The sequence below is a fragment of the Homo sapiens genome, chromosome 5 (genome assembly GCF_000001405.40).
Source record: "Homo sapiens chromosome 5, GRCh38.p14 Primary Assembly".
NCBI classification, from domain to species: domain Eukaryota; kingdom Metazoa; phylum Chordata; class Mammalia; order Primates; family Hominidae; genus Homo; species Homo sapiens.
Genome location: NC_000005.10, coordinates 118,517,241 through 118,541,391, shown reverse-complemented (window position 1 = coordinate 118,541,391; position 24,151 = coordinate 118,517,241). Strand labels below are relative to the sequence as shown.

At 37.5% G+C, this 24,151-nt stretch overlaps 1 long non-coding RNA gene across 1 annotated transcript in view; it reads left to right on the top strand.

Annotated features, from left to right (window-relative positions):
• The window catches only part of LINC02208 (long intergenic non-protein coding RNA 2208), a 211,152-nt gene that overhangs the window by 20,726 nt on the left and 166,275 nt on the right, over nt 1-24,151 (top strand). The window contains exons 2-3 of the long non-coding RNA NR_104610.1: nt 17,578-17,743; nt 18,546-20,220. This is a non-coding gene — a long non-coding RNA (long intergenic non-protein coding RNA 2208). The remainder of the gene's footprint in view (nt 1-17,577; nt 17,744-18,545; nt 20,221-24,151) is intronic.

Genomic DNA, 24,151 nt, shown 5'->3' with positions numbered 1-24,151 from the left:
CAGCATATATATATATACACACAGTATATATATACACAGCGTATATATATACACATTATACATATACACACAGTATATATATACACATTATACGTATACACAGTGTATATATACACAGTACATAGACACACAGTGTATATATACACAGTACATAGACACACAGTGTATATATACACATTACATAGACACACAGTGTATATATACACAGTACATAGACACACAGTGTATATATACATAGTACATAGACACACAGTGTATATATACACAGTACATAGACACACAGTGTATATATACACACACAGTATATATATACACACACAATTTATATATACACACACAGTATATATATACACGCAGTATGTATACACACAGAATATATATACACGCAGTATATATATACACAGTATATATATATACGCGCAGTATACATATACACAGTATATACACAGTATATATATACACACAGTATATATATACACATTATATATACACACACTATATAAACACGGTATATATACACACACAGTATATATACAGGTATATATACACACATAGTATATATACAGGTATATATACACACACAGTATATATATACGGTATATATACACACAGTATATATATATACGGTATATATACACACAGTATATATATATACGGTATATATACACACAGTATATATATATACACGGTATATATACACACAGTATATATATACGCGGTATATATACACACAGTATATATATATACACGGTTTATATACACACAGTATATATATATATACGGTATATATACACACAGTATATATATATACACGGTATATATACACACAGTATATATGTATACACGGTATGTATACACACGGTATATATATATATACACGGTATATATACACACGGTATATATATATACACGGTATATTTACACACGGTATATATATATACGGTATATGTACACACGGTATATATACACACGGTATATATATACACGGTACATATATACACACAGTATATATATACATGGTATATATATACACCGCATATATGTATACATGGTATATATTTATACACAGTATCTATATTCACTTTATATATGTATACACAGTATATTCACAGTATATATGTATAGTCAGTATATATATACACAGTATATATGTATACACAGTATATATGCATACACAGTATATATGCACACAGTATATATATACACAGTGTATATACACACAGTATTTATATACACACAGTGTATATACACACAGTATATACACACAGTATGTATATACACAGTATATATACACACATAGTATGTATATACACAGTATATATACACAGTATGTATATACACAGTATATATACACAGTATGTATATACACAGTATACACACAGTATGCATATATACGGTATATATATACACACAGTATGCATATACACGGTATATATATACACACAGTATGTATATACACATATATATACACACAGCATGTATACACACATAGTATATATATACACAGTATGTATACACACAGTATATATATACACGCAGTATGTATACACACAGTATATATACACACAGTATGTATACACACTGTATATATATACACACAGTATGTATACACACAGTATATATATACACACAGTATATATACACACAGTATATATATACACACAGTATATATATACACACTGTATATATACAGACAGTATATATACATACAGTATATATACGCACAGTATATATATACACACATATATACGCACAGTATATATATACGCACAGTATATATACGCACACAGTATATATACACGCAGTATATATACGCACAGATTATATATACGCACAGAGTATATATACACCCACAGTATATATATACCCAGTATATATATACCCACAGTATATATATACCCAGTATATATATACACCCAGTATATATACACACAGTATATATACACCCAGTATATATATACACACAGTATATATACACCCAGTATATATATACACACAGTATATATACACCCAGTATATATATACACACAGTATATATACACCCAGTATATATACACACAGTATATATACACCCAGTATATATATACACACAGTATATATACACCCAGTATATATATACACACAGTATATATACACCCAGTATATATATACACACAGTATATATACACACAGTATATATATACACAGTATATATACACACAGTATATATACACACAGTATATATATACACACAGTATATATATACACACAGTATATATACACACAGTATATATATACACACAGTATATATATACACACAGTATATATACACACAGTATATATATACACACAGTATATATATACACACAGTATATATATACACACAGTATATATGTACACAGTATATATATACACACAGTATATATGTACACAGTATATATATACACACAGTATATATGTACACAGTATGTGCATACAGTATATATATACACTGTGTATATATACACTGTGTATATATATACAAGTATATATGTATACACAGTATATATGTATACACAGTATATATATACACAGTATATATGTATACACAGTATATATATACACAGTATATATATACTTGCAGATGTGATTAAGTTAAAGTCCTTGAGATTGGGAGATAATGTAGACTCTCTGAGTGGTGCCAATCTAATCACATGGGCCCCTAAAATCAGAGAAGCCCTTAGACTGTGGCCAGAGAAAGAGATATGATGACGGAAGAATGGTCAGAGATGCAACTTTGCTCACTTTGCAGATGGAAGACGGAACTATGTGAATGGCCTCTAGAAGCTGGAAAAGGAAAGGGAATACTGTGTATTCTCCCATAGATATGTAGACTGTCTCCCCTGCTAACACCTAGATTTTAGCCCAGTGAGACCCATGTTGGACTTCTGATCTACAGAATTATAAAGTAATCAGTGTGTGTTGTTTTAAGCCACTGTTTGTGGCAACTCAAGATGCCTGTTGGGAAGCGTCTTCACTCTGCTCATGTGATGGTTAATACTGAGTGTCAACTTGATTGGATTGAAGGATACAAAGTATTAATTCTGGATGCATCTGTGTGGGTGTTGCCAAAAGAGATTAAGATTTGAGTCAGTGGGCTGGGGAAGACAGATTCACACTTAATCTGGTGGGTACAATCTAATCAGCTTCCAGCGAATATAAAGCAGGCAGAAATATGTGAAAAGGAGCGAGACTGGCCTAGCCTCCCAGCCTCCATCTTCCTCCTGTGCTGGATGTTTCCTGCCCTCAAACATTGGACTCCAAGTTCTTCAGTTTTGGGACTCGGACTGGCTCTCCTTGCTCCTCAGCTTTTAGACAGCTTAGTGTGGGACCTTGTGATCGCGTAAGTTAATACTTAATAAACTTTATAAATATATATACATGTATATATGTATATGTGTGTGTGTATATATATCCTATTAGTTATTAACTGACATGATCTGTCATGTAAGTTCTGTCCCTCTAGGAGAACCTTAACACAGGTCATTTCTTAGCTTGTATGAGAAGGGCCTCCCTCCTAATAGAGTCCTTGTGAAGATGTTATTGCTGCCTCTCTTTGGAGTGTCTTCATAATGACCTTATTTTCCCATGGCTGCCCTTTCTTGACTCACAGATGAATTCTTCACAGTCATATTTGCCCTCTTGTCACAGTTGATTTGAATAAAGGAGGTTACTTGGCCCAGTGTGGGCTAATCAGAATCTCTTTCCCAGGACTTTGGATTTGGTGGAGGGGGTGTTAGTTTCAGCCTCTACACATGGCTTGAACTGAGGTTCTATAAACCAGGGCGCTGGGTGGTGGCCATAGGCAAGGAGAATGTAACAATCCCTGAGGCAGATAGAGCAGAGCAGAGCAGAGCAGGGGATCTAAGAACCAAGATCAAGAGAGTGGGTGGCCTTGTTCCTACTGGTAACAAAATGTTTACTCCTACTAGGGCTCAGGCACCTTCGTGTCCCAGATTCCACAAGATAGCATTATTCCATTATGAAAAGCATGCTATTTTCCCTTAACCATGCTAAGAGAGTTTCTGTTACTTGCAAACAAAAGAGCCTGGACTAAGACACCTACTGTGATGGGGGTGAATCAAGAGGATGGAAAAGAGACTATATTAATCTCATCTTGGGTCCTCATTCATGCCTCATTTCAAGGAGGCAAATAGAAATTCAGAAAATTTTATTATCCAACAGGACAGGGAGCATTTTGTACATCTTTGACTGTAGCTGGAGCTGCTGGCAGGCCTGCCTTTGTTAGAGTTGAGGTCCCTGGCCATATAATGCTCCTTTAGGCTCTAAGGTATCTAATTCTCGCATTCAAAATTAATGTTGGCAGAGGAGTATTTTTAAATCAGAATTTTGTAATTCCAGCTGACCTTTCTTCAGCAAGCTTAAACATGAATGTATAGCACCCCATTCAGCTTTCATGCTTTTCAGTAGTTACTTAATTTTGAAAATATATATGGTGAATATTATGGTTTCTTGCAGTAGAGCTTGAAACCAGAAGCGATGGCTTTCCTAATTATCATTAACTTATAGAGTTTCAAAAGAAATCATAAAAACTATGTTATCCAACTCTTTAATTATGCAGACAAGGAAATACGCTAAGTAGTGTTAGATGGCTCGTTCTGCGGTCCTTCACTGGGTCCATTTGTGTATTTATATGAAGAATTCCCAAACTTAAAAATTTAGAGAATAGGTTATCAGTTAGAGAACACAGAAATCTTTGGATTAAAATATTTGTATGAATACCAAGTACTTTTTATAATGCAAAGAAAATGTTTTTGCCTGTCTCTTTATGAATTGAAATTCTTTCTGTAACCCCAAGTGTGCCCAAAGAAATATAATTCCTTTGATGGATTGGATGTTATTAATAGGAAGTTAGATAACTCTGAAGATAAAGTTTCCATGCACCCATTAATCTTTTTCTCCTTCCCTTCCTCCTTTCTTTCCTTCCTCCTCTCTCTCTCTTCTTACCGTCTTTTCTTCCTTCAAGTTATTATTCACTGAGTACCTGCCATGTGACTAACAATTTCTGAAAGCTGGAGATGCAATAGTAAATGATACACCCTCATGGAATCCTCCTCTTGTGGAGACTCTGCCTTCATGGTGCTTACATTTGACTTGAGGAAAATAGAAAATAGATATGTAAATAGATATATAAGATTATTATGGATAATAATAAAGTGCTATGAAGAAAATAAAACATAGGAATGTGAGAGAATAATGGGCTAGGGTGACAGAGTGTGTTTTCTTAGAGTAAGAAGGTGACATTTAGTTGATCTACTTATTCTACCCATTCATCATCTACATATTCTCTATATTCTGTGATTACATAAGACAACAGACAACTCTAACCCACAGAAAACAGTGATTAAGTTGCTTTCCCTGATGACAGAGTTCATGATTTTAAATCCAGTTTTTTTCTGTTGCCTCTATTGCCACCTCAAAAGAGGATTGAATTGAAAACTTGTTCTCAAATAATTTGTATTCAACTTGGGGAGAGAAAACACAAATTGTGGGGCAATAAGTCAAAGTACTGATTGGTTTCTTCTCCTTTTGCACAATCCTTAACAAATCCTTCCATTTGTATCTCAAGGACTTCTCTGATGGGTTCTGCTCTCTCCCCTGGATCGCCCACACATGGACGTGAGACCAGTCAGAAACATATCCTGTGAAAACACAACCATTTTTCTGGGAAGCTGCTGGTCAGTGTAAGAGAAAGATTCAGATACACACTTTTGGCATTAATTTTCCCAAATTGAGGGGCTAGACTGTAAAACCTTAACTGTTTCTGCATTGGACACCTTCTGTCACCAGTTCTAACTGTAAGGAAACTGAGTCACTGCTTACTTACTGGTCTCATCACAAAATGTTGAATATCACCAATTACCAGGAATCTTCTCTTCTCAAGCATGTGGAAGAAAGGTCTATAGTAAAGGTCTGTTCAGATCTGATCTATTCTGTCTGTTGGCCCAGGGGCACGTAAAACCTACAAATAGAAGGGTGGAAGTCTCAGGAACTAGACAGATGGTGACATGAAGGGGAAGCTTTGATTATGAACAGGATGGGCAGAATATCTTTTGAAATAATCTCATTGTATTGTGTATTGTCCTATTGGCTATCTGTTGCCACCATAATGTCTCATACCAAATCTCCCCACAAAACAGCAGCTTAAAACAATAAGCATTTATTTAGTCTGTTGGTGAGTTACACTGAACTTAATTGAATAATTTTGGTCTCAGCTGGGCTCACTCATATGTCTGGTGTTGGGCTTTTGGCTGGTATAAGGTTGCTCTTGCTGGAGCTCCCCAGCTCTTCACATGCTTCTCATACAGTAGGCCAGCCCATGAATGTTCTCATGGCAATTGTAGAAGCACAAGAGTAAGCAAGGTCAGTTTGCAAATCCTTCTCAAGTAAGCATCTTATAGGCCAAACAAGTCTCATGACCAATTCAAGTCAGTGTGAAAGGGAACTGCAGATTTACATGGTAAAGGACATAGATTCAAGGAAAGTTGAAGAATTGGCACCATTAATCAGTAACATCCACCTTATTCAGGGTTGAAATGTTAATGGTTAGTTATTTACCAAATAGTCTAGGCATAGTTTAAAGGGTACATTGGAGTGATGAGAAACTGGAGGCAGGAATTACAGACAGGAACCTGTGAGGGGGACAAGGGCAATGCCTGAATCTGGGTGACTGGGGAAACGGGAAGTGGAGGGGTGGGAGACAGCTTGGCTGGATGTGGAGGTGGAGAGGAGATGAGAAGAAAAGATTGCCTCTGGAGTCAGTGACCTGGAGGGGCAAGTAACCCACCCATGCCTTGTAGGTGCAAGTCTGGAAATTACTTGTGTAAGAAAAGAGAAGCTTGGTGACATGGTGAGGTCAGGTATGTGGGAGAAGGAGCAGCAAGAATACAACATGGTGGAGGTGGTGTCTGATTAGAATTGCAAGGCAGGTGGAGGATAACGGCTATGAGTGCTGGGTGGGGGCATAAGCTTGGGCATATTTCAGCTTGTAGACAATAATTTGGATCCTCCATGTTGGAGAATTTGAAATTTCCCAGGGCTCTAAGGAGAGTGTGTATGTGTTACTGGTTACTCTCTAGCGGTCTCTAGACTGGAGCCTTATCAAAGTGTCATGCTCTTGGAGACCCCTAGGTAGGTGGGAGCATTATGGCATGCCCAGATCATAACTCCCTCCCCCCACCACAGTTGCCAGGCCCTGCTGCAGGTTTAATCAGCTACCAAGTTGGTTTTATTTTTATCCCCAGTCTCTCCTGCCCCAGCTGACATTCAGGTACTCTCTGACTGCCTTTTTTTTTTTCAGTCCCATCTGATTCAATGAACAATTGCAAAACCTGGCAATCCGGATGAAGCCAAGCATTCTGAATCTTAATTTATTTTTCTGTTTTTCCAATAAAAAGGTCTTCCAAAGACTCACAAAGTGGAAAATATTTTGAATTACTTTCTTTGACTGACTGTGCTTGAATTTCTCAGGATCACCATTGATAACATTTAGAATGATTTCTGGGACACGGCACTAGGCTTAAAATAGTTTGAAGGCTTCTGGGGCAACTCCCTGATATGAGAAGTGATTTGTTACCTGTGTTAAGGAAGAATCAGATGTCACGTTATACAAGGTTAATGAGCAACAACTGTTTTGTAGCTTGAGTGTAGCCGGTACCTCATACCCTACTTTCTCCTTGCTCCAGAGAGAGCCACAGTGTTGTAGGTAAAATAGAAGTTATTAAATACAGATATTATTTTTTCTAGGTCTTAGGTGTGCCCAATCCATCTTTGTCTCCTTTGTCCTTGTGAGGCAACTCCTGCCATTTGAAATTATCTGAGTCTTTGCGAAGGGCCAAGTTGTTTCTGCGGTGTCAAGGAGACCAGAAAGTAGGACCTAGACAGCAAAACAAACCCTTTGTGGGAGTGGGTGTATGTTTGAATGTGGAAAATCTGAAACCACAAAGATTTCCTGCTCCTTCCTGGAGCTGACTTCTGCTGGGTTTTTCGAGGAGGCTGTTGGATGGCTGATGTATTTCTCCTCTCTCCAGTCTAACATTTAAGGAGCCATTATATAATCACTAGTCATGAAATAACTGTGGTTATGTGGCAGTATTTCACAAAGTATGGTCTGTGGGCCTGAGGCATCAGAAGCACTTATGTAAAAATTACTGGGTCTGGGTCCTGGAAATCTACATTTTTAAAATTTAGTGTTCATCCCAGGTGATCTCATATTCCCTGATGGATGAGAATATACTATCCTTAGGGGCAAATTACATTTATTTGTTATTATTTGTATACTTTGGAAGACTATATAGCAGCAGGATCAAATAATGTTTGAAAATATTATGCTTGTTTGTGGCTGTGTAAAACAATTTAAGCTGGCTCCTGACTTTAAGGGTATTACCTCATAGCCGTTTTTTGTTCCATGATTGGTTATGTTAGTAGGGAATGACAAAGATAACTAGCTATTCACTTATAATTCATGCTCTGCTTTTCATAGTGTAGAGTTGTTCATGTGAAGTGGCTGCACAGCCATGTACCACATGGCCACTGGCATCCAGGAATGGCCTGTGACTAGTGCTCCCAGTAGAATGAAACTGAAGTGATGTGTGTCCATTTTTTTCCCCTTTGCCTGGGTGCAGAGGCCCAAGTGAAGGATAAATGAAACCTGGATCTTTGAACTACTGTATATCTACAGTACCTGTTTTGAGCTTTCACTTGGGTTAGAAGTAAGTCTTCATGGTGCTGAGCCATGGAGATTTGAGGTATCAACAGCTTTTGTCACCCAGATAACTCAGGGGGATTGGGTTATTACTTACAGGTTCTAGATGGTAACTATGTCCTTTTCCAGCTCAAATTTTAAAATGCATGTGGTTTACATACATCTACTTCTCTTTTGAGAAGTAGGAATCATCTCTTAGAGGAAAGAGCACCATTCCCAGAATTAGGGAAGTAGGTTCAAGTCTCCCAGTTCTGCCACTTACTTGCTGTGCAGTTTTAGACAAATCATTCAATTGCTCTGAGCCTCAGCTTTTTCGGTTATGTAGTGAGATACTAATACTGTATGATTTGCCTTCGAAGGTATGTTTGTGGAAGTTAATTTAGGGGAATGCCTGTGAAAACACTGTAATTTATAAAGTTCTAGTATACAAATGCAAGAGATGACTTGTTTCTTTTTTTTATAGAGTTAGTGCTAAATGCTATTTCTGGCTTTAATACTTTCATCAGCTTCCTAAGTCTCAGCTTTTTCCTCTAGAAAATGGGGATTTTCTTGGATTACTGTGGTGATAAAATGAGACAATGTATGTGATGGTGAAGATCCCAAGACCCAACATATTTCAGGAACTCAGAGGAATGTTAATTTTCTTCCCTGAAGTACTGTGTGCTCAAGGGAGGCAATTTAGGGAGAGTCCATGTAGGATGAGGATAAATATGAACAGTGTTCTCCTGTTGCTTATATTTTACTCACTTCTGTTGATTGGTGGGGTGATTTTCACTGTATCTTCTATCCTGTCCTTCCCAGAGCTTGATCACGACCACACATCAGTGGGAAAGATGGCTGCAGACGACCTAAGGGCTTGTTTGTGATGTTGTGGGCTTGTATTTCTTCTCCTATGAAGATGGAAACTGGAGTCAGTGTGAGTCTGATGGAGCACTTACTGGAGGTGCTGGCCAGTCAGTTCCCTGATGTTCAGACACCTGGCGTTCTGGAGTGCTTTGTCAAGAGTAGTTATTCCCCCTTGGAACACTTTGTCTTCTTTTCTCTGTTTCATCTTCACTTGGCTTATTCTTTGCCCCAGAGTCCTTTTTACTTGGAGTGTCCTCAAGCTAATTTACTTACTACAAGTTCAAGACATGAAAAACTGGTTCTGCAGTACATTTTTAACAAAGGGAATGATAACTTCTTCAGTTTATTTGTATACTGTACTGCCCTTTTCAAAGTGTTTTCACTGGAGTTACTTTGTTTGTTCATTGTAGGTTTCATAGTCTTCCAGCAGCCACTCTTCCTTTTGCTTATCCAAGGTGCATTTATTGGGCAGGTAAAGCTGCTGGGAGGATGAGGTAGATGGGGTAGGGAACAGAGAGCTAATATTTATTAATCATGCATTTTTGCCAAGCTACTTTTAATGGAGTTTGGTTAATTTAATTCTCTCAGTTTTTCTGAGGTATCTCTAGTGCCTAGCCAATACTTAACGGGTGTTTAAAGGCTTACCAACTGTAAAGTTCAACAGAGTTTAAAAAACTTGTTCAAAGTCAAAAAGCTCTTTGGTGATGGAGATGGGATTTAAATCCAGGTTTCTTTGTTTCCGAAGCCCTTGCTCTTTTCCTAATGTTACTATCTCTAGGAAATCGATCCAGGGACATAAATAGTTGTTCTCCAATTAGCCTACACATTCAGTTATTTGGGGAGCAAAGACACCAACATTTGAGTAGTAAGACAAGGAAAACTTCCTTTTTTCTCTCTCCTTTCCTCCCTTACTTTCTGCCGCGACATTTTTTGAGTGTCTACCATGTAGCTTCCAGTGTTCCATGCTCTGAGATGCAACATCCCCATCTTGCAGCTAATATTCTAATGGGTGAGACAGATAAGTAATTTAATGTGAAGTATTGATAACTGCTAAGAGGAGCAGTGAAGCAGAGGATGATAGTGATGTGTGGTCAGGGAAGACCTCCCTGGGTAGGTGACATTTGAGCAGAAACCTGAGTGAAAAGAAAGCCTGCCATTGGCGGGGGTTGGGGTGTAGACAGCAGGTGGGAGCTGGCTTAGTGTTTTGTGAGTTCAGAGTATGCCTTGGTTGGAGTAAGCATTAGGAGGGTGATGAAGTGAGGCTGGAAAGTTCACTAAACGCTTGTGAATACTTTAGATTTTATTGTGAATGAGGGTGGAAGCCATTCAAGAATTTTGAGCAAAGAAATGATAGTATTTGACTTACTATTTAAAAAGACTAACTGTGGATATTATGTGTGGGTAAGATTACAGGGGGCAAAAGCCTAAGCTGGGACCCCAGTTCAGAATCGATGGCAGTTGTCCACATATGATGATCGTGAATGGTATCGAAAATGAGTACTTCAACAACATTGCATTCTTTTACTTTCAGTTCTTATCTTTGGATTTTTTATTTCAATTCGTTATAAATCTCTTTAAATTTATTAAATTCATACTGAGTTCAAGAGATGGAGAAAAATCCTGTTTGTGTCTTTATCTCTTTCTTTAAGCCTTTTCCTACAATTTATATTTTTTCTTTTTCTTTTTTTACCTAAACCAAATTACACATTGTTCCACTTATCTAAACAGTAGAAGACAGGAATCAATTGCTTTGGTTTTCTGATAGCACAAACCTAGCTGCAGATCTGAAACAGAATGAACTGGCGTTAGAGTGATAGCAGGGCAGCCTGCCAACAGCACCCTTTCTCAGTGACAGCTAGCCGGTGCTGGGAATGGTCTGCACAAAGGCCTGAGTTTGTAATCAACTGCAAACTTGGACTCTTTCTATTTGGATAGCACTTGCTCTTCTCCAGCTGAAGTGGGTGATTGCATTGGGACTATTATCTATCAAATGCCATGAAGAGCTATTAATATAGGTGGAATAATTGAAGAAACAGACTTGTTGGAAAATGTAACTACTTTACACATCATTGTAAATTGTTTTCCAGGCTATACTGGTCTCCCTTCAGCCATGAAAACATTCGGATGTTAAAAAAAAAGATGCGTCTTGAATACTTAACCATAAAAGTAAATGAGATTGCTTTAGACTGCTTTGTTAACACTGGAACCATCCACACATGGAAATTATTACCTACCCTGTGTTTGCTTGAATGTTGGTAGATATTGTCGTGCCAGCTCTGATGTCTGTTAGTCTAATGTGTACTTCTGTGCAAACAAGTGAACAGCTCAATATCATTTTTAGGAACATTCTTTCATTAAATAATGAATCTTTTCTAAATACCATTACTACTATTTTACATTTTCTCTCTAATTTACGAAGGAGTTTTGAAGCTGGATTGCGTTCATGTATAATGACTCTCACATTGCTCTGAGAGATGAGTTGTGGGAGTGATAGAGCATCTGAAAGCTGGGTCTTAGGTACATCTGGGAAGAGTTTTAAGCAGGTCAGCTGCCTTCTTTACAGTGATTTCTCCATATGGATGGCAGTTTGTATAAAAATCTATCTGTCCAAATTCTTCTTTCTATTCAAGGTCAAGCTCAAATCTCACCTACTTTAAGCAGTTATACTTGAGTAATTTGGTACATATAGTCACTCTCCCTTCTCAGTGAAGTGGTATGAGAATAGGTATTTTCTTAGCAACTACTGTGATGGATTGTCACATCTCATCTAATGTTTACACAGCTACTCAGTGAGGTGGGCACTATTGGGAAATTAGCTGAGGTATGTATGCTCACACACCTGGGAGGTGGAAGAGTCAGGATGTGAATTCACGTCTGTCTAACACTAAAACTCTTTCTACCATACCTTGTGACTTCATAGAACTTTCAATGTGGACAGAGCATGATACATATACTTTAACATTTCTTTTTATACTGTTTGTTTGTATTTGTAGTTGTTTCATATATGGGTTTTCTATTTCTAGCAATGTTTTAATGTCCTTGAAGACAGTTAGACAGTTCTGAGAGATACAAAGAAGAAGACATGACCCCTGCCTTATTGTAGGTTAATATAGAGTATAGACCTGAAAAGAAAGGTATCTCCAAATCCATTATAAGAGGTCTGATGGTGGCGGGGCATAGTGGCTCACGCCTATAATCCTAGCAATTTAGGAGGCAGAGGTAGGAGAATCACTTATGCCTAGGAGTTCAAGAATAGCCTGGATAACATAGTGAGACCTTGTTTGCTCAACAGATTTTAACAGATGAAACAATTAGCCAAACATAGTGGTGGTGCATGCCTGTAGTCCCAACTACTCAGGAGGCCGAGACGGGAGGATCACTTGAGCCCAGAAGTTTGAGATTACTCTGAGCTGTGATGGCACCACTGCACTCCAGCCTGGATGACAAAGGTCTGATGGAAGGAAGTCTATGGAGGATACCGAGGCAACACAAAGGAGGAGATGGTCTCTTCTACCTGTGGAGACTGGGGTAAGAGTGTGTGGGAGTGGAAGAGAAAACACTCCAGGCAACAAGAAGGCATTGGAGGTATGAAACAGCCAGGTGTGGTGCATAAAGGCAAAAAAGCTAAGATTGGTTGGATCATGCATTAAAATGGCAGGACTAGGGGGTTAAAGAGAAGAGGCTAGAGAGAGAGAGAGTTGGGAAGAAGGCAGGAAATAGGTTTCTTTAGTGCTTACTGAGTTTGAATTTTATTCATTTCTATGCCATCAAATGCTTTTAATCAGGGAAGCAATATAATCCAAACAAAGAATTTTGATTAAGTCTGTATACAGCAGGGATGGATACTATTTGAAAGGTGTTTGAGTAGTAGACAGGTGGGCAGTTGAGAGACTTTTGCAGTTGTCCTGGCAAGAGATGATGAAGGCCTGGATTAGATGAGGAGCAGTGGGAATGGAAGGTAGTCCCTACAGTCAAACTCAGTGTATTGTTCTACTGTCAACTACCTTGAATACTTCTTGTGGGCAGGAATCATTTCATATTTTCAGTTAATGTCACAGTTCAATTCCAAGCACATGAATCCCCTTTTAAATTTTCCCTTTTTAGTGCATTTACTAAAAAAATTCTGCAAAGGATCTGAGTTGGTATGACTTCAAAGCATACAAATGTTTTTGCGTTTGAACTGCTCTATGGTAGGAAGTGAAATTTAGCCCTGTTTCCTGCCATATCCCCATGTGGGCAGAGTTACTATCATCATTATTTGGTTTTGGAAGCAGTGATTCACAGATGAAAATAACCTTGGAATTCGAAAGAAAAATCGGGAGGAAAATCAGAAGTATTACCAAAATAATTTTTTCTTCTATCAGGACTCTAGCTATTTATGTTTTCATATAAGTAAAACTGAAATATAGTAGCAAGTGTTAAAGCAATTTAAGTGTTTCAAGCTCTTAACTGAGTGTCCTTGAAGCCTATAATGTTTGTGGTAGGTAGTTCCATTGCTGTAAATCTGTGTTGACAGGTGCAAATTTATACTAACAAATTAATAACACAAGTCAGAAAAATAAACCCCAGCTCTGAAAACATTGTATTAGCTATAGAACTAATAATATCAAGAAAAAAAAACAGATCAAATGCTTTCTGACCATTTTGTCTCTTGATTAGACTGAGCTGTTTATAGATGAAATTATAACACTTGGTATTTTCCTCACCTGTGTTTTTCACTTGTGGAATTTATTCATCACATCTGTCATGATTTGTATATCTAGAGAAAAGTTTTAAAGGTGAACTAAAAACTTAAATATACAGCTATGACAAGGCTTCACATTCTGTCTCTGCACTGTGACACTTTAAACCTCCACAAGTTATTTATCATCCAGTTTCCAGTTTCTAGGTTTCTTCTTTAGACCTGTGATAGCTTAGTAAGTGAATATTTTCTTGTTTTACGTCCTCCATACTAGATCTCTTGAATCTCCTTGAAAGAAGGGATTATATCTTGTTCAGCTTCGATCAGTTTTTATTAATAGTAGAATGTTTTGGCATCTAATAGGGTCATTTAATCAATACTGGTTGAATAAGAACAGATGTCCCCTCTTTTAGAAAAGGGAATAGTTGTTTTTGAGGTGAGCAGATGTCCACTCTTTTAGAAAAGGGAATAGTTGTTTTGGGTGAAAAATGTAGGTATGAGTAAACTGAATCGACAGAAATCATTGAGAAAGTGGGAAAATGCCTGGCATGATGTATGATATGTTGAATTTTATGTTTACTGAGTTAGGCAAAAACACCGTTAAAACCATTTTGATGTGGATCTTAAGGTTTTTTGACTTCTGAAGTTCTAGATGAGGAATAATTCTTTTTAAAAAATAATATCACTTAAAATTCGGATTTGTAAGAACAACTGCTTATACTTCTTTCCTAAAAAGAGAAACCCTACAAAACCTTAATTATATATATAGATAGCTATACTCTGATGGTTCACATGCATATCTCACAGGTTATGTTGTTACCTCTATGTCTGGTAGGTAGAGGTGAAACAGCTAGGACACCAATCATCCCCTCGATCAACTGGACTACACTATCTTTTCAGGCTGTCTGGACTACAGTCTCCATCCTCTCCTCCTGCTCCATGTGCAGTCTGCCTGTGCTAGTTTCCTCCTGCTGCGGCAACAAATGATCACAAACACTCTGGCTTAAAACAACACCCACAGTTCTGTATGTCAGAATCTTTGTAGGTTTAATAGGGTTCTCTGCTCAGGGTCTCCCAAGGGCCAGATCAAGGTTTCCGTCAGGCTGGACTCTTTCTGAGAGGTTCTGGGGATGAATCAGTTTCCAAGCCTATTCAGATTGTTGGCAGAATCTTTTTTTTTTTTTTTTTTTTGCAGTGTGGAACTGAGATTCCCATTTCCTTACTGGCTGTCAGCTAGGGTCCACTGTCTGCTACAAGGGCCCCCTGAGTCCCTTCTCATGTGGCCCCCTCCATCTTTCATCCAGCAGTGTTACACTGAATTCTTCCTCTGCTCTGACTCTTTCTGACTTTCCCTTTGCCTTCCTCCCTGTCATAAGCCAGAAAACGTTGTCTGGTTTTAAGGGCTCATGTGATTATATTGTGCCTACCAAGATAAACCAGTATAATCTTCCCATCTTAAAGTCAACTGACAAGTGGCCTTCATTACATCTGCAAAGTCCCTTTTGTCATGTAACAAACATACTCGTGTGTGATATCCTGTAGTCACAGTTTCTGGGGGGTAGGGCAGGGCATTTTTAAGAGGCTGCCTTAGAAATCCGTCTATTGCACCCCCTAAAAAACAAACAAACAAACAACAACAAGAAAAACTTTGCCAGATAGAGGCCAGTCAGTCTTCCGTAGAGGGTATCTATGGCTAACAGTCCATTAGCAAAATGCTGTCACTTTGTGTAATGCCCCTGTGAATTCCTCTTAGGTCTATGTTTCAGAGTAGTTCCTGGAACTGAGACTTTCTATTATATTTTATTAATATCAAAATAAATTACCTAGCTAACAATAAGAGGACTAAAACTTAGGGCACATTTTCTGTGAATATATGAACTTTTTCATGCACAGAAGGTATCAGTTAATTTTATGGTCCCTCAGCTATGTTACTGGTACTTATAACACCATGTGCCATGTAAATACCTTTGAAAATGTCATACCATGGTGTAGCACTGAATAAGAACATGAATGCAGATGACTGTCCAATCCCAGGCAATAGAATTAGGTGGTGGAAATTACCACTTGTGGATAAAGCTTCTTCTTTTTTTTTTTTAATCACAAGCTAGGACAGTTTTCAGGAACAATTCATATTTTATGAAGAGCTGTCACTGAATATCCACCATCATCATCAGCTTCCAGGTGACAGTCAAGAGAAGTTGTTTGACTTTTAGTAACTAATTCAATAAGGAAATTAAAAAAACCCAACAATTGTGATCACATAAGAAGCGCAGAGTAAACACTTGGAATTATACTATCAATACTAAAGTTGCTATATAGAAAAAGATTTGAAAGTATGGCTTAAAAAGTGTGGCATCATGATGGTATGATGGCCAAAAGTGATGATGAAGAATCTTTAGACTTTTGAAATGGAAGGGCATTTCTACTCAAACTGACTTTTTAAATGTAAAACGCATCTTCTAGATTTATTTTTATTATAAGTGAGACAGAGCTAATTTATATATAAAATATCCACACTGCTCTTTATGAATGGTTTTCTGTTCATTTTCACATTAGGAGTTTTATTACTGATCGAACTGATCTTGATACTGAAGAATAAAAGGGTTACTAGTTGTTTAGTATTTATCAGTTAGTTTTAAATTTAATTGTGTATCCATTCCCCCAAAAGGTGTTGTTAAGTTGCTGTGTCTTACAATTGATGGGAACTGAGAAGTGAATAAGAGAACACAGAGCCACACATTAAAAGTGCCTAAAGACAGATACAGGTAGTATCTGTATGAAATATTTGACACAAAGAAATTTATACTATTTTATACATTATACATTCCCCCCCCGCCACTCACCCCATTGTCTGTTTTTCAGGCTTGTTTGTTTTTAGGGTATGTACTTTGGAATGAGAAAGGAATTTTATAACAGTAAAGAAGGCATTATACTGATTTATTAAAATTTAAAAATAAACTGTAAGTGGTATAATATGGATGATTGGATACTGACCTGAGAAGAAATTTCCATATGTAACTTTTAATGACATCGGTATTATGACCATTGGTGAGATACTGTATTCTGCAGACATTTTTCTCTCTCCAACATTGGAGATGATGGAATCTTCTCTACATCTTCCTGCATGAGACTACTTGTAAGAACAAAGGTGGTTGGTGCTTATTTAATGCACCGAGTTCTTTTGTAGGGAACCTTTAAATCACTATTTTGATTTAATTCTGAATCAATTTTATTCTTGAACCGGGAAATCATATTTTAACATGAACTTGCAAATAGTTCAGTGCTTCACTCCCAATTCCTATTTCAGCATCCTTCACCGAAGCACGAAGCAGAATCAAGCTGTTGCCATGAAGCTTGTTTCAAGAGCTCAGAAATACTCCAGGGACTCCTTTACTACTGCTTTTCAAAGAGGCCTTTTTTTCTCTCTTCTCCTTTTCCTGCAAAGAGGGTTATATCCAGTGCTCAAGGACATGGTAAGGCCAACAAGGACTGGAGGAATCTCCAGGACTATGATCTCTTGAATTGTGAAATGTGACATTCTGATTGCTAGCCTGCCTTTCTTCCCACTCCACCAAATTGTAATACTTCTTTTCATGCTACAGTTTTGTAAAACTTTACTGTGTAATAGAAATTGTCTATTCATTTTTAAAGAACTACACTCCCAGAGCAATTGACATTTGTTTTGTTTTAAGTCTTCTGTGTAAAGGTTCATCAAATTCCCATTAAAGTAACATTTTTGGACTATATTATCTGTTCAAAGATCTTAATTGACATAAAAATTTTCTAATTAATGGGCTTCAAAAAGTGTTTTAATCTGTCAGTAAAGTTGACTTTTACTTCAAATATATCATGTTTAAATTTTTTTCCTCTGTAAGGTAGGAGCCAAAGATTAAATATTTTTAAAAAGCTTTAAAAAGCCTGTATTGATATTACTACTACTAATTATAGATAGGGATGTAGGTCCAAAATTAGTACATGGATTTAATGCGTTTTCAGTAAAGTTAGGAATAAAAATAACATCACATATTTCATTTTATTTGAGGTAGCCAAGAATAGCTATTTTCCTTTAGAAACTTCAACAGAAGGAAGCTTTTCAACTTCATAGCATTCTTAGGGAAATATAACTGTCCTGTTTCATAGAGGACATGGAGTAAGAGAAAATATGCTATTTTTTTTAAGGAGGCAAAAGGAGGCAGACTTTGTCAATTATATTTATGTTCATTCCAATAGATCATAAGATTTTCTTCTGAAAAGAATATTAATCTCATTCTACAGGGATTATCAGCCTAAGGCATGAGTACATGCTGTGGAAACAGAAATATGTATGAAGGGATGTATGAAACCACAGAATAAATGGAATCCACATTCTTGAAGTAGCTACAACTCTACTTGAGGGTAAGTAATTAAGTATTTTAAAATGCAAAAAAGTATATATTATGAGGTAGAAACTAAATCTTTATTTTTAGGATAAAACATTTGAATTCAAAGGGACTTTCAGCATGTCGGGAAGCAAGTCTGACACAGGAATAATGTCCTCTGAAGCAAAGGCTTTTTCAGTGGCAAAGCTTAAGAATGCTGATCTGCATGATGGGAAAATTTAGTGTTGGCACAAGAAATTAACTAATATGTTTTTCTGTTGTCTGAAAAGGAAAATAATGCTTGGCTTCAGGTATTTGGAAATACTGCACATTCGGGCTAAGAATGAGATGACCATTTTCTCATTTTCAACTAATTATTTCAAGATACCAAAACAAAACAAACAAATGCCATTGGTGAGTACCTGCTATATACAAAATGAGCTGTATGTAGTGAAGTGGCCAGGAAAGGCAGAGTTCACAGCCATAGGTAGGGCAGGCCCTGGCCACCCTTTAGGGGAGCAAGAAAGGTAAACCAGGTGGATGAAACATATCCTATAGCATATTGTAATTGGTAAGTGGATGCAAGTGGTTTCTTAGCAAGTCAGAGGCATCGGGCTGTCTAAAAGAGGTAAGAAGATTATACTGACAGAGAGGTGGAGCAAACAATGAGGTGTCTGGGAGGAAGCATTTGAAGAGCTGCAAGGAGGTCTGATTTATGGTAGAAAAACTGAGTCCCCAGGAACTGGGGAAGTGACTGGCAAGAAGAGGACAGGGCTTCTAGTCTAGAGGAATCAAGGCATAGGACATATTGCTTACCTAGAGATTCAGTCAGGGGTATGGGATCCAGCCTGGGTATAGTTTTTGGAAGGCTGCTTACTTGATTGGGTTGGAGTGGGACTAACAGCAAGTGTGATTTGATGCTGACCCTTCAGTACTGGCCTGCGTAGCTTACAACAGTTACCCTGTCTAAGAAGGAGATTGATTCCAGAACCCAGAATAAAGCAGAGAATGCAGATGGTGGTCACATGGGTTCAGGTAAGGAGTAAGGAAAGTCACTGGCCCTTCTCCAAGTGCTGTGCAGGTGCAAAAGTTATTTAATTTTCTGTTTCTCTCTTGAATGAATATGCTACCTATTTGGTGGTATAACACGTAAACTCATTCATATTAAATGTCAATACATGCTTTAATGTTTTAATCAATAAATGTACTAAATAATTTAAATTTACAAGGGATTTTGGAAACAGATCCAACTTTAAGCATGGCAGGAAATTGATATTTGGACAAGGAATGTTAGCACATTCTTAGATCATACTCAGATTTAAGGTAAGACTACTCTATTTTTCAAACCAATCTAGGTATATAAAACCAAATCTAGTTAGAATGAGAATACTAAATTAAACATAAGTTTGTTATTCAGATATTCCATGTAGAACTGTGGGATGAAGTGCAATCAGCTGTGACTGGTTGGAATAAGGACCTGCCTTATCCCATGGAGAGTTAGAGAATCTGTTCCAACAAGGACAGAAGGTCCAGGTGGGAAGAGCTCTGGAAAACAAAACTCTCTGACAGCGCTCTTGAAAGCTCTGCTGGCAGTAAGTATGTACTTGCTTATGATAGATTCGAGCTTAGTGTGGGAATCAGGATCTGAACACAACTCACCCCCTTCCCTGTCCCATTCAGTTGACGCTCTTGGGGTGTAGCATGCTGCTTGCTGCACATGAGTCTGTGTTTTGCTCATGCCTGGCAATAGCTGCTTGGAGCCTCACCTCTGGAAGCTGATGATTTCAAGTATCCAGACCTGTCATGATGCTGTCCAGGAGGGGGGTTAGGCTGTCATCATCTATTAGACAGCCCCCAGCTGACACACACAAGGCCAGTTACTGAGTGCCCTTTTCTCTCAAGCTTTTGATTTGCATCTTTGGGTAGGAATTGGGATAAGACACACATTCAGAATCCAAATTGAGGCATTCAGTTGCTCTCCTATGCTTGGTTTAATTTGTTTATTCATTATCTTGTAGTTTGGGCAGAATTTGCAAAGATTTTACAATTTCATGAACTTGCATGGAACCATTGCTTTCTTCAGAATGACTTTTCCATGGGTCATAAAAACTGAATGGCTGGGCACTGTGTCCTCATATTCATTGACAAGAAATTTAAGTAAACTGGATGAAGCTAATCTTTCTTACTTGGGACCCAGTTTGAGTCTTCAGCAGAAGAATATAAGGCCTGCCTCTGAAGTGCTCCTCTTGCCATAAATCGGGTACATGACCATACCTTTACGAGAAACTAAGACAGATCCTGACCTTTACATCATGGAGTTTTGGAGTTTTACCTAAATCACTTCTTGCTGTTACTCTGCTGTTGACTTTTTGTCACTATTGTAATAACTAGGCTTCAATCTTGTGGAAAATTTTGACAAAATGATTTTTGTCTTCTGCTCTTCTGGGTGCTCCTATCTTTTTTTTTTTTTTTTGTCCATATACTCACTCTCCCAGCACTGGGGCCCAGGAGTATTTATAGGTGTCACTTACCCACTTTGCCTTCTTCAGTAACTGCATCCCATGCCTTCCCCACTTGCAGGGATGGAACACATGACCCAGTTCTGTCATTCATGTTTCACAAGCCCTTGTCATTGGTTTAAGGCTAGGCATGTGACACAGGCAGGTTCTATCAGAGTCAGAAGGAGAGCACTTTTGTAGGATCTACCAAGAAACCCGTGCTTTAGTTTATGCAGGCTAAGATAGAAGAAGCTGCATGATCTAGAGCTTCAGCAACCATTTCTGTGACATTGAAGGTAACTGTTAAAAAATGAAGCCAATATACAGAGGAGAGTAGAGCCAAGCAGAGGAGGACAGATGGAGAATATTTGGTAACATCATTTGGGTCCTTTCATGCAGCCATGTCTTAAGCCAACTCCGAGCCAGTTTATTTTCTACTTTGCTTAAACAAATTTGCATTGAATTTTATGTATCTTCAATTTTGCAAAAGGCTTAACTAATGCACCCTGCCAGTGATTAGAGTCTTGGCTGAGAGTTTCAAAAAAACATGGCTGGGCTTGGCTACTTGCTGACAGCCTGCTTGATACCACCTGTGGCCTGGTTCTCTGACCATCCCCACCTTCATATTTTCTGTGCTGGGTTTATCCCTATTGAGACATCCTGATATTTCATATTCAACCCTGATGCTCTTTTGCAATCTGGATAAAATTCCAAGACATAGTAACTATGTTGCCCCCCAAGAGTATTTTAAAAAGGCTTAATGACTCAACCAATAAATTGTCTCTTTAATAACTCAAAGAAGTTTCAAGGATTTTCACGTAACTAACCCTGGGATACATAAATGTATTAAGGTCAGTGGCTCATTAGTTTTTCCTTTTCTATTGTGGATGTTGTTTTATCATTTTACCTTCTTTGATAGTGGCCTTTATGACATTCTACTTGGCTGGCAGGCAACACAGTAACTGCTTTTAAATATAAGAGATGCTGAAAGGGATTTCTGTAATAGATTTTATTATAATGGGATCAGAATGGCAGGCAGGGCCGAGAAGAAGTTAAAGGCAAGGCAGCCACATTGTTCTTATTGCCTATAGGTAAGCATTTCGTGGTTTTCTGAGAAACTAAAGATGACCTGAGAAGTAGGACTTAAAGAAAGCATATTGAGCTCAGTAAACTCTTAAGACTCTGGTGATAAGATGAGCAAAGACAGGCCTAAGGATATTCTCCTATAGACCATGGACTTTGTGAGAATGGGTGTTGGTTCTGGGAGTTGAGCCGAGATTCAATCTATGTACCGGACTGAAGGACAACTTTAAACCTTATAGGAATACTAAAAATGCCCTGTAGGGGCAGTTTCCATTCTACTCCATGTGTTAAAAGTGCCTCTTTTAATCCTAGTTAGACTGTTTTAATTGGAATGATCTTTCCTCAAATTCTTCCTCTTTATGGTTTTTTTTTCGATCCTGAGTGCATAAAGAGTCTTCATGGGTTAAAACAAAACAAAACAAAACTCCTTACAGTGAATTGAGAAGCAACTGAAGTCTTCTTCATTCCCTGACCTCTTTCCTGATTGCTTCCACCTCTTTCTCTTGCCCTATACCAAGGTCTTCTCTGCTTTTTGATTCTGATCCATTATGTAAAACATTTCAGCCCCAGTGATAACAAAGCTAGGAAAGAAGCTTGCAATATGAGGGGCAGAGGGGTTCCTGGGTAAGTGGGGTGGCAAGGGCTTGATATTCTTAATGGAGAAAGTCTTAATAGACAATATGAAATATAAAGAGTTTTGAGAAAAGGATGGTCATTGTGATTTGAATAGAGAAAATAAGAAGGATTTTTTGAATGTTTGCGTTTTGGAATATTTGCATATATATACATAGAATGGATATCTGTGGTTGAGTCCCAAGTCTAAACACAAAATTCATTTATGTTTCATATATATCTTATACACAAAGCCTGAAGGTAATTTTATTCAATATTTTAAATAATTTTGTGCATTTATCACATGAGGTCAGGTGTTGACTTTTCTACTTGTGGCATCATGTTGGCACTCAAAACATTTTGGATTTAGGAGTATTTCAGATTTTGAAGCATTTCAGATATAGGATTTCAAATTAGGGATGCTCAACCTGTACTAGGAAGATGGGCCAGGTAGAGACGAGAGTCTACCTTTGTTTAGTCTAGCTAAAGATTTGTCAATTTTGTTTATCTTTAAAAAAAAATACAACTTTTTTGTTGATATGCTAGATTGTGTTTTTTAGTCTCAGTTTTGTTCTTTTGAAAAGATAAACAAAATTGACAAACCTTTAGCTAGATTAATTAAAAAAAGAGAGATTACCCAAATAAGTAAAATCAGAGAAGAAAAAGGAAACATAATAACTCAGACCACAGAAATACAAAGAACCATTAGAGACTATTATGAAGAACTGTACACCCACAGACTGGAAAACCTGGAAGAAATGGGTAAATTCTGGTAAACATACAGCTTACTAAGATTGAAACATAAAGGAGTAGAAAACTTCAGCAACAGTAACAACAAAAAAATAAGCAACAAGATCAAAACCATAACAAAAAAAACTCCCATCAAAGAAAAGCCTAGGATCCGATGGCTTCACTGATGAATTCTATCAAGCATTTAAAGAACTAATACCAATTCTACTCAACTCTTCCAAAAAATTGAAGAGGACGGAATATTTCCAAAATCATTCTACAAGGTGAGCATTACCCTGATACCAAAACCAGACACAGATGCAACAAAAAAAGAAAACTACAGGTCAGTATCATTGATGAACACAGATGCACAAATCCTCAACAAAATACTAGCAATCCAAATCCAGCAACACATTTGATAATGTTTGGACATGTGTTCCCCCCAAATCTCATGGTGAAATGTGACCTCTATTGTTGGAGGCGGGGTATAGTGGGAGGTATTGATCATAGGGTGGATTCTTCCTGAATGGCTTAGTGCCCTCACTCTGGTGAGGAGTAAGTTCTTGCTCAGTTAGTTCTCTCAATATCTGGTTGTTAAAAA